At 39.4% G+C, this 13,020-nt stretch overlaps 1 annotated feature.

Moving 5' to 3' along the window:
- Positions 6,321-6,895: an enhancer, noted in NCBI's record as "H3K27ac-H3K4me1 hESC enhancer chr6:97210120-97210694 (GRCh37/hg19 assembly coordinates)". NCBI's record gives its function as "activates a minimal SCP1, AML or CMV promoter by ChIP-STARR-seq in naive H9 embryonic stem cells {active_cell/tissue: H9 hESC(naive)}" and the evidence as "EXISTENCE:reporter gene assay evidence [ECO:0000049][PMID:30033119]".

Below are 13,020 nucleotides of genomic sequence, written 5' to 3' on the forward strand. Positions count from 1 at the left end.
AAGAAACATAAAAAGCACTAGATATATAAACTTCTGGGAGTAGTTACATTTGCTTCTTTTAATGTCTTATATTTAAATGTAGGCTAGAAAACAAGAAAGACCACAAATATGTAAGCTATTTGTTCTCAAGAATCTGAAAACAGAATTTACAGCAAATATAAAAATGTAAAAACAAGAAATAAAAATTAGAGCACAAAGTAAAGAAAACAAAAATAAACATGATTCCCAAAACCTGGAGCTACTTCTTTGAAAAGACTGTAAAATACACAAGTCATTGGCAGTACTGATCAGAAAATGAGACAGTAAAAATAAACAGTATCATGTATAAAATAAGGAATAATAACAGAGATATTAGAGATTTTATAATATGAAACTACAATAATAACTCTATACCAAAAAATTTTAAAACTTGGAAAAAATTGATCAAATGCATGGGAAATATGAATTATGTAAAATGACACAAGAAGAAATATAAAGCTTTAAGAGATTTATAACCATTGAAAAATTGGAGTCAATGGTTTAAAATCTACCCACAAAAATCAAAAGAGAAAAAAAAACTCGCTGCAAGCAGAAAACCTTATACCTTATACATGTTCTTCAAAACTATCAACAAACATATAATCTCTAATCCCAACAATTTTCAAGGACAGAAAATAAAGAACACTTCCCTAACTGATTGCATGAGGCTGATAGGATCTTGATACCAAATCTGGGCAAGAACTGTACAAAAACAAAAAAAAGGAAACGGAGAGGCCAATCTCACTTATAACCAAAAATACAAATATTCTAAATAAAATACTGGAAAACCAAATCAAGAATTTTGTGTATATAATATATGAGTAATCTAGGGATTTTCCAGAAGTATGAGAGGTTTACTATTAGAAGACAGATTAATGCACTTCACTTAAACATGAACAGAGGCATGTATCTTTACTCCTTCCTGAAACATTACTAAAATGACCATATGGTGATTTTTTAAGCTATTAATCCAGAAGGCAATCAGAAAAAGAGAGCAGATGACAGTAGGTAACAAAGAGGCTCACTCCATGCCCAAACCCCTACAGTGAAGCCACCTCTGGGTGTGTCCCAACCACATACTCACAGAGCATCCAAGCAGCCTGGTCAGGCCCCATTCTAAGGTAGGAACAGCCTTAAGAGCAAACAAATTCCTGGCATTTGTGACAACATGGATGAACCTGGAGGACATTATGTTAAGGGAAATAAGTAATGCACAGAAAGATAAATACTACATGGTCTCACTTATTTGTGGAATCCAAAAAAGTCAAACTCATTGAAACAGAGAGTAGAGTGGTTTGTAACTTTCCATTATGGGGATGGCAGGTGGAGGGGTGGATTGAGGAGATGTTGGTCAGTCACAAAATTTCAGTTCAGAGGAATCAGTCCAGGAGATCTATTGTACAAGATCTATTGTGCCACATGGTGACTATAGTTAATAACAATGTATTGTATACTTGAAAATCACTGGGTACATTTTAAGTGTTCTCACCACAAAAAAATGATAAATATGTGAGGTAATACATGTTTTAAATAGCTCTTTTTAGCCAATCCATAATGTAAACATATTTTTAAACATCATAAATATATGTATTGTCAATTAAAAAACAAAAATATTTTTGAAAAGTTTCAGAAAGAGTTGAAACTGTCTCAAAATAAACAGGTTTTTAAATGAAAAAAAGAGATAACTCTATATTACATTAAACTCTAATAACATTTTCAGGAAATAAAAATCTCAAACTATATCTCATTTGCACCCTTCCTCAGGGGCTACAATATTTAGATAGTATCTAAACATGAAAATATTTAGGCATAGTAGTATGCCTAGAGGCATATCATTAAGAAACATGGAGGTAAATGCCTGAAGGAGGGGGAAGAAAAACAGCTCAAATGTTTGAGGTTTGCCAGTCTTGCTACTGGTGAGCAGGATTTGGAATGGAAATAGTGGCACAAAGAACATAGATTTGGGAGGATAAGCCTCGCAGTACAATTTTACTTTTTAAACAATGTGCCTTTATTCCTTTAACAATAATAAAGGTTCACTTTTTAAAAGGCAATGTAAATAATCACATTAACAATTTAAAGAAGAAACACCATATATTATTATTTCTATGTACAGAAAAAGCATTTAGTAAAATTCAACATCCAGCCACGTTAAAATGTCCTAGAAAAATAAGAATAGAAGATAACTTTCTTAACTTGATAAAACCCTGATATGGTTTGGATCTGTGTCCCCACCAGATCTCATGTTGAACAGTAATCCCCAGTATTGGAGGTGGGGCCTGGTGGGAGGTGACTGGATCATGAGGGTGGTCTCATGAATACTTTAGACCATCCCCTTGGTGCTGTTCTCCTGGTAGAGTTCTTAGGAGATCTGGTCGTTTAAAAGTGTATAGCACCTCCCTCTTCTCTGCCTCCTGCTCTAGCCATGTGAAATGCTGGCTATCCCTCTGCCTTCTGCCCATGATTGTAAGTTTCTCCCCAGAAGCTGAGCAGATGCCAGCATCATGCTTCCTATACAGCCTGTGGAACCATGAGTCAATTAAAACTCTTTTTTAAAATATATTATCCAGTCTCAGGTATTTCTTTATAGTATTGCAAGAACAGACTAATACAAAGACATTTACCACAAACCTACAACAAATATCATCATATTAATAAAACATTATTGAGCATTTACTAAGTGTCAGACAATAACAATCCTTTGAGATAAATTTATTATACTCATTGGCATATGAGTATACTGAGGCACAGAAACATTCAGTAACTAATCCAACTGTTGCATAGGGAGTAAGTGGCCAAGCCAGGATTTAAATTCAGGCTGTCTAGATCCACCACCCACACTGTTAAGGGCTAAACTATACCATCTTTCATACTGGAGAAAAGTTAGAGTCACATGCTTTGACGTCACAAAAAAAGCAAGGATGCCTGATTTCACAGCTTCTACTCAACATTACAAAGCTCCTACAGGGTGTTGTATGAAAATAAAAATAAAAGTATAAAGATTTAAATGGAAAAAACAGGCTGAGGGCAGTGGCTTATGCCTGTAATCTCAACAGTTTGGAAGGCTGAGGCAGGAGAATTGCTTGAGCCTAGGAGTTCAAGACCAGCTTGGGCAACATAGGGAGACTCTGTCTCTACAAAAAATAAAAAAAATAGATGGATGTGGTGGTGTGCCCGGGTAGTGCTATCTACCAGGAACCCTGTCTCTATTCCAAAAAAAAAAAGGATAAAAACAGAACTACCATTATTTTCAGATATGATTGTCTACATAGAAATTGAAGATAATCTACAAAATGTTACAACTAATAAGAAAGTTCTAAAATGGGTGCTAAGTATAAAATCAATATAAAATTCAATTCATCTTTCTATACATCAGTGACAATCAGAAATGTAATTTTATAATATACCATAACCAAGAGAAATAAAATCTATAATTTATCTATTAGTAAATCCAAGAAAAAGGATATAAGATCATTATAAAGAAATTTATAAGGCTTTATTGAGAGCTATGAAATTGTACAAATAAATGAAGCTATGCAACGTTCACAAACAGGAAGAACTGGTATTAGAAAGATGCAAATTCACCCCCATATTGATCTCTAACTTCAATACAATAACAATCAAAATTCTCCCAGAAATTGTTATGGAGCTTGATACACTAATCCTATAGACCATATTATATACATTTATTTAATAAAAGTTAAAAATTCTGCATGGTAATGATAGACATCAACTGTAGGAATGATGAAGGCTTCAGTTAAAATTGTAACATTTCATTCCTTAAGAAAAAGATTTCACAACCTGAGGCAAATATGGCAAAATGTTAATGTATGTTAAATCTGTGTAGTTAGTATGTGAGTTTTTATTATAATATTTTCTGAACTTCTCTCATTTTGAAATTTTGCATAATTTAAATATTTTTAGAAGGAAAGTCAGTGATGTTGAGTGCTGCTGTGAGAACAAATAAGATAACTGCTAAATCATCCCTTAGATTTGCTATCATAGACATCACAGCTGACTTTAGCAGGAGCTGATGATGTGAGATGAAGGGGCCAGAACATGACTGAATTGGGTTGAGAAATCAGTACCATAAGTAAATGAAGACAGTGAATATAGATCAGGTCATTAAAAAGCCCATTTTTTTTAACTAATTCAACAAAAATGAATTGAAAGTTGTTTTTATGGCACATAAAGCTTTGTAAAACCATCTCTGTTCTCAAAGAGCTAACATTTTGGTGAGGCTGTTTTATCAGTCATCTTCTCACCCTTGGTGGCATGTCTACTCTGAAGGCTCTGTGGCATCGTGGTGTGGGAGAGGGGTCTGGCCTGCAATGGTCCTGAGCTGGCAGCAGGAGCCATGCTCTCTGGTTGCTGCCTTCAGTCCCACTGACATCCTTGGGACATTTGTGATTCTAATGCATTTCCAGTCCCATGGCTTATGCTGCCATCCACAGCTGAAACTTTTTATCACAACCACGAAGCACTTTGTCATCTTCTAGTCTTCTTTCATCCTTCATCATTTCCCAGGATGTGGCAGGAGGCTAGGCAACTTTCAGGTGCTTTTTAATGTCAGGGTGGAGCTTACTAAACTTGCAGAGAGTGCTACATCAACCTAAAATGGCTTCCTTTCCATGTTACTGCTGTCTGGAGAGTCAGCCTGGGTGGGTAGAGGTGAAGAGGTCCCAGGTCTCCTTCCAATGCGCACTCACCTGCGCCAACCTGTCTTGCTTTTTGCTCCAACTATCCACTGTCCTTAGCTCAAGGAACCTATTTTAGGCAAGAGAGAGGAGCAGCAGGGAGTCACTCTTTTTCTATGTAGTTCTGTATTCCACCAAGATTAAGGCTGTTGAACTTCAGAGCTAAACATCAGTGTTTCTGTTCTCTAGTTCCTTCTCCCTACCATCATCAGTATTTTATTATTAAAATGTTCAAACATACAGAAAAGTTGAAAGAATTTTCCAATGGACACCCACATACTTACCATCTGGCTTCTACAATTAACATTTTGTCCAACTCTCTTTATCATATATCTATCCTCCATCAGCCTGTCATTATTTTTTAATGCATTTCAAATTAAATTTGCAGAGATCAGTACACTTTACCCCTAAACCTGCAGCATGCACATCATTAACTAGAGCTTAATAATTATTTATAGTTATTTTAGGCAAAATTTTTACGTAGTAAAATCACAAATATTAATGCACTATACAATGAGTTTTGACAAATGTCCATACCTGGGTAAATACATTCCCTGCTCATCCACTGAAACAGCTACCTCATACCCATTCATAGTCAAAACCTGCCCCCTCACCAGACCATTTTTAAGAAGGGTCTAGAAAGTTCCTCTCCTGGAATTTTCCCACTACTAGAAACATGATCCCTTCTCTACTATAATCTCTCTTCTCATGAGTCCTGAGTACTTCTAGTGGAGAGAGAAGATGGCTGCAAATGAAATTCTACGATTCCTGCAGAGAGCAGGGTAGTAAGCATGCCTCCTTCAGAAATTTCATTTCCACCCTCCCCAACTAATCCTTTGGCTTATTTTCAATCTGCCCCAGACCCAAAGGCTTATAGATTTTCTCACCCATATACCATTGCATACAAAATTTCATGTGATAAGGTGAAAAGCCCACACTCTAAAAGGGAGTCTCCTTTGACTTCCTCAAACTACACCGTATCTGCAGAATATATAAATGTACAGCACACTTCTTAATAATGCATTTTCACTAGAAATGTTTACATTTGTGGCCCATTCTCTGTCCCTAGGTAAATCAATAACCAAATCATCCACATTAGTGTTTATGTTACAGGATCTTTGGAGTGTCGCTTTTCTGGCCAGAATCCTGTGGCTCGTGGTGCCTTTGCCCAAGTTTTGCTCATGCCTGCTGGGCTCGTTCTGCCCACTCGGCCTAGCAGGCTGCACTCGGCTCATGCTACCAGCCTGGATCCCATGCCTCCAAGGAAGTCTTTGAGTCAGGCATGGAGCGGCAAGGGGTGGATGAGGGAGTGTGAGGTCTGGCCGCTGCGCCGTCAGATATGCCGGCTGCTGCCGCAGGGCAGTCAGCTCCAGGTCCCGGCATGGGTGCCGGCTCTCTGAAAGGCTGTGGCTGGACCAGGTGCACCACAAGCAGCTTCCCCAGCTGGCACTGGGGAATGCGGTGGCACCTGAAAGCTTGGAGATGCCAGGAACTGCAGGGCCCCAAAGAGGGAGTCACAGCCCTGGCTCCAGGAGCTCCCAGGTCTGGGCTCCCCAAAGGGCTGCAGCTCTTCTCTCCTTCTTTTCGCCCACAACGTGGTGAGCAAGGGGCATGTTGCAGCACTGTTTGTGTGATAGCTCTTTTAGCCTCACCATTTGGCAGTTCCCAAGTTCTTGTCCTGCACGCAGGAAGAATGAGGTACACAGGCAAGTGAAGGGTGAGCAAGACGAAGCTTCTAGCAGAAAGGGTAGCTCCTCTTTGCAGGCAGGTCGTCCTAACAAGTGTTCAGCTCCCAGGAGAAAGGGTAGCTCCTCTCTGCAGCTTGTCATCTGGTTGTCTGCCCTGCTCTGGGTGAGGCCAGGGCTTTTATGGGCCTCAGAGGGGGAGAAGTGCATGCTGATTGATCCATGGGCAACCACGGGTGGGCCCAGAAAAGGCACCACTCTGGTCCACAGGACTGGCAGCCCAGCCCCCAGCCTTCAGGCCCTCCTTTGCATCCAGCTACCCTCAGTCCTCCCTCAGCTTCCCCCATACCCTGTGCTCGTCAGCATGCAAAGTCCAGAGAAGACTGAGGCAGCAGGGGACTGGTATGTCAGCACTGCCCTGAGTGTGCACACACCCAGCCAGGCTTTAACGGTGCCCAGGCTCGGCCCCTAGTCTGCTCTAAGATCAGAGTGGGCACCGGGAGCAGGGAGAGGCCAAGCAGTGGGACCAGACACGCCAAGCCTTCAGGGTCAAGGGGGGTCTTCCTGGGACCCCAAGGGTGCAGACTGCAGAGACGCCTGGGTCCTGTGCCTGGGAAAGTGAGGCTCCCACCCACTCCATGGAGTTTGCAGGCAGCCTCAGCTATGCCTTCCCACTGCAGCCAGCGTGATGACAACAGCCACTCCAGACGGCCCACTGCTGCCATCATTTACATCCTCTTTTTGGCCTCTTCAAGAATATGGTCATCTCGTTTCCTCCCAAACAAATGAATCATAGAATAAAAACCCAGTATGCTTTCTATTTAGGAGGTGAGGTAGCACTGAAGGTAGTGCCTAGCTCTACCTGTACTGACCTTGAAAGCTAGCAATGAAGCCCTTCTCCTGGCCAAGGCCACAGCTATTATTTAAAAGCCATGTGGCTCCCATACTCGCAGCTGAGTACAGGAGGAGGCTGAGGTGGGAGGATCACTTAAGCCAAGGAATTCGAGGCCAGCCTGGACAACATAAGAAGATCCAGTCTCTATAAAGAAAAAAAGCCATCTGGAATACATAAATACACATTTTTACAATGATGTTTTTAAAAAAGATACAAAAGCGCCACTATGTTTAGATCACTCATTTGTTCATTTTAAACTTAAGACTATGAAAATTAAATTACACTTACTGAAAAAAAGTTACTCTATATATACAATAAGGTATTCAACTTCTCTTATGAAATATTTTAAATAAATAGAAGTGTCCACTTAAAAACAAAATCATTGGGGCATTATATCTTTCAAAAATACTTTCTCCTATTAAGAAAGCAAATCCTTTCTCTTATGCTTTAGTAAATAAGAAAAGCACACTTTATGAGCTTCATTTCAACAGTAACTAAGTGACATTTGGCAACAGTAGGAGCACAAATCTGTTAACCATGGTACTTTTGTAATAAACAAATAGTATTAAATGAATTTATTATATTAAACAAGTGTTCTGGATAATTAACATTTGATTTCTATTTATTCCAGGGTCTTTAAAGTGGTGATGGCCACACTTGTTAGGTTAGGAATACTCTTTGAAGAGAGAAAGCCTCAAAATGCTTATTGTCAAGGATGTTTCACTGGAATTACAGAGCGCTTCAACAACAGTGAATGTGACTGTATCAACTTCAGACTCCCACCTTAAGTACAAAACAGTATCTGTCAGAACCATAAACTATCTGAAAAGAGAAAGGAGTTTTCGTGGGTAGGCTTTAAAGTCTCAAAAAATAATAATAATTTCCTTCTGTATCTCTCTGTTGCTTATTCAAGCTAACCTTCTTCCTGATCCTCTCCCACATCACCACTAATCTTTATTGAACAACCCTGCTGCCTCTAAAAAGGATATTCCAGGAGCATGCTAAACTTGTGACTGCAAAGAACAACTGCCCAGACAGAGTTCAAAAAGTTTACACGGATCTACACCCTCCACAGGAAATTAGCAATTCCCAATATTAAATTGCTTGCTTGTTATTGTATATTGTCAGTTTGGTTTTGACTCTGTTTGCTTTTGTGAGGAATGCTGAAAATTCTCTTGTATAATTTAGGAAGGTAAGAAAGAAAATGCCAAACTTAATTTCCAACCTAACTCTCCATTTTGATATTGTGGCCAACCAAAATTGAGACTTAGCATCCCCACACACTGACTACCACCCTATTATTCCTCTACCCTCTACTCTCCACCCAAGAAAAAAACAGGAACTACTAAAGGAACTAGAGTGGATGTCCTTTAAATCAATTAACATCAACTGTAGTATTATTCGAGGCAAGGAAAGTCCAAGTATAAGAATATCAAAGGTTGCTCCTTTTCAAAAAATAATGTCAAATTTTTGTTAATAGGAGCAGCCACATAAATCTCTCAAGCAACTCAAAGTCTCGACTCAAAAATAACCAAAAATGTTAGATGTAATATTTTATTCCAATACTTTAAGAGGATCCCAGCTATACCCGAGGGGATGGCTATTACTACTACTGCTACTACTACCACTGTTACACACACACACACACACACACCCTTTCCACAATTCTCTCCACTAGATTTACATTTGATCCTCCTCTCTGTAAATCCACAGGACCCTAGAGGAAAAAAAAAATATTCATATTCAGGATACACTTGAATATCTGCAACATTAGAAAGACCTAGGATTAAATTATATCTGTAGAGAAATATAAATTCTGGAAAAATGGAGAACGAGGGACAGAAAATTAGAGGAAAAGGAGTAAGAGAAGACAGTGAGTGTAAGTGGAGGAAGGAGTTCTGTGGCCACTCTAGGGAGGCCAACGTAGTGAAACTCAGTGCTTGTGAAGGACTAGGAACAAAGTGGCTACCCAAAGAGTACAGCGCCTCATCTCCACATCCATATCTCACCCTCTCACCTTTGGGGAACAGCTTGGGCACAGTGACCTATGCTTTGTAGTAAGAAACTGTTTAGGTCTTCAATGGTGACATAGGTGTGCTCAGTCACGGACACTGGTCTCAGGCAGTGTCTGGAGCTTCACATTCCAGGCTTCTGCCTCTTTCATTGTGGATCATCTGGCAGCAAGAAGTGTCTTCCTCCAGACTATAAGAAATTGAGGACAGGGGTTTTGTTGGTTTTGTTTATTGCTCTATAACATGGCCTGGAACATATACACGCTCAATAAACATTTGTTGGATACCAGTTGAATACAGGCCAGCAAGGGGATCACAGCACCTCAGTGGCAGATTCACGATTAGAAACTCTTAATGTCCAGACTTATTATGATTTTCTCCAGATATCACGTAGTTTAGAAACAATTTGGTTTGAAAAAATGTTCAAACTAATCTTAAGGAGTTAGGAGCTTTAACTCATAATTAAGCAAATATTTAATCCCTTTTAACTTTAAATACCAGAGAAAGAGCAAGTAACGTGGTAACACATACACAGAGAGGGACAAAAACTTTACTTTTATTTATTTATTTTTACTTTATCTTTTCTTTTTTTCTTGAGACAGGTTCTCACTCTGTCACCCAGGGGGAAGTGCAGTGGTATGGTCTCAGCCCACTGCAATCTCAAACTCCTGGGCCCAAGCAATTATCCCGCTTCAGCCTCCCGAGTAGCCAGGACTACAGGTGCGTACCACCAGGCCCAGCTACTTTTTAAATTTTGTTTCATAGAAATGGGGCCTTGCTATGTTGCCCAGGCTAGCCTCAAAGTCCTGGCCTCAAGCAGTCCTCCCACCTCGGCCTCCAAAAATGTTGGGATTACAGGCGTGAGCCACTGCACCCCAGCCTACTTGTATATTTAAAGAGAAGAGATTAAATTTTTTAAGTTTAATTTATACAAATCATAATTTAATGATTCCAAGCTCAGACTAATTATAAATTAAGTAAAATCTAGGAACAGAAGATTTGTGGTGCTTTGTTATTTTATAGAATATTTATGTTAAGCCAAATTTCCCCAAGGCATTTTCTTGGGCCCTGGAGAAAGACACTTAAGTTTACATAGTAAAGGGCTAACTACTTTACAAATAAAGTTCACGTGTAATGATTTCTGACTAGCTAATATTTTTACAAGGTTTGAAAATCAAAGCAACATTTTTTAAAAGTATACCTTGAGAAATCTTAGTTCCACCCCATTCCTGTCCACCTTGTCCCCACACCCATTACGGTAGCCATTTTTATTTGTTTCTTGATTATCATTCCAATGTGTCTTTATACAAATATAAATAATTACAGATTTTTGTTTTTACTTTTTCATCTTTCTTAGTTTAATATATACACAATGCTGTTCCTTGCTTTCTCCGTTAACAGTAATACAGCCTGGAGATCTCACACCAGCATTTTATGAATGTCCTCATTCTTTTCATAACTGCATAGCCCTCCACTGTGTGGTGAATCAGGTCACTATTGGTGGGCACTGGTAATGTTTCCTGTTTTTTTCTATTGGAGATGATGCCATAATGAGTTTATACATACACTATTTTGTAATTGAGTAGATAGATCTGTAAAATAGATTCCCAGAAGTGAGATTTCTGGAGCAAGGAGTAAAGTGCAGCTATAATTTTTGGTGATTATTACCAGACATTCCTCCACAGGAGTGGTATGCTCCATTTGCCACCAGCAGCAATATATGATTCACTGGCACAGTGTGTTGTCAAACCTTTCAGTTTCCACCAATGTGGCCATGAGAAATGTTATCTCATTTTTATTTCTCCTACTATGAGTGGGGCTGAGCATCTTTTCACATGCTTATGGACATTTCCATTTCTTTTTCTGTATCTATCCACTCCTGCCTTTCAACCATTTTTCTGTGCAGTGGCTGGTCTTTTTCTTCACAGTATTAGGAGCTTTTTATATAGTAGGAAAGTTACATATTTGTCTGTGATGTCAGTGGCAAATATTTTTTCCTTGTCTATCAACTGACTTCTGGCTTTGCCTATTGGAGTTTTCAAGTTTTTTATTTCCATTCAGAAAATATGACTACATTGTCCTTTCTAAGCATTACACAACCCTAGAAGGTAGCACAATTATTTCCATTATTCAGAAGACACCAAGCTATAGGAATATTAAGTAAACTGTCCAAAAACATACAAATCTGACCACAGATCTAACACTGAAGATGATATAAAATTAATTATGCCATACTGCCCTCTCACCATAAAGATAAAAAATGAGAAAAGTAATAATATTAATATTTCACACTTTACATTGGTTGTATTTTTATCCTCACGCCAACTCTATAAAGAGATTATTTATTTCATTTACATTACAGATAACAATTTGAGACTACTAAAAGGGAAATAAACTTCCCCAGTTTGCATTGACTTTTTTCTCATCTTCATGGATTTATCTACCTTCGATCTTTGAGGCTGCTGACTTTTGGATGGGGTTTAACATTAAGTGTTCCACTGAGGACTGAATTTTGCTTACATTATGGACCCTGAAACTCTTATAAATGGCTATATGGCCCTCACTAAGTTGTATAGAAGGAAGCTCAGATTTGAATCTGTGACCCCACACATGGAATTTGTGTGCTCACTACTCCAGATTCTTACTACTACTCTACCCTTCTTTTCCTTGTATTTCTTTATTTTCTCTTGTTGAATTGTGTATATTGTATGGTCACCTAAATTAATTTTAATAAGAGTGTAAATACATATTCAAACTAAGTATTTTATCTTCATTTTTAAATCCTTTAAATATTCCAAAAATATTACGATTGAAACTCTACTAAATCCAAATTATGACTCAAATTAAATGGGTTAATAAAATAAAGTTTATTGCATCTGCACCCAAATTTCACTGAATTCTTCTTACTCTGCACTGACCCATAAAACTTCACCAGAGAAGAGCAAAAATGGCAAATGAATCCTGCTCCATCAACTGAGGTATGCAGATTATCTCACTGGGACTGACTAGGCAGTTGGTGAGACCCACACAGAGCAAGGAAAAGCAGGGTGGAGTGATGACCCAGGAGCCACATGGGATAAGGAGAACTCCCACACCCAGCCAAGGGAGGTGGTGAGTGACTGTGCTACCCCACCCAGGAAACAATGTTTTTTCACGGATCTGTGCATCCTACGGACCAGGAAATCCCCTCGTTAGCCCACCCCACCAGGGCCTTGGGTCTCAAGCACAGAGCTGTGCAACCTGCTTGGGCTGCAGCCAGCAGCAGCAGGCTGGACACTGTCTAAGGCTACTGAGTTCCCAGGCAGAGGGGTGGCCGCCATCACTGTGGCTCCAATCAGCCATTTTTCTCTGCTGGTATCAGGAAGACTGGGCAGTTTGGACTGAGAGGAATTCCCCACAGTGCAGCACAGTGGCTATGGCAGATCATGGTCAGACTGCTTCACTAGGTGGGACCCGGATCCATCCCTCCTCACCAGGAGGGTCCTCCCTGCAGGAATTGCAGCAACTCCAGCCACAGGTTTATGGAAAGAACTCTGATATCCTGGAAAGGAGCCCCAACACGAGAACTTCACAATGCAACCATTGTGTCAATAGCTGAATAGACCAAGTGGAGCAAAGGATCTCAGAGCTTGAAGACTATCTTGCTGAAACAAGACAGGCAGACAAAATTAGAGAAAAAAGAATGAAGAGGAATGAACATAACCTCCGAGAAC

Source organism: Homo sapiens, chromosome 6 (assembly GCF_000001405.40).
Source record: "Homo sapiens chromosome 6, GRCh38.p14 Primary Assembly".
NCBI classification, from domain to species: Eukaryota; Metazoa; Chordata; class Mammalia; order Primates; family Hominidae; genus Homo; species Homo sapiens.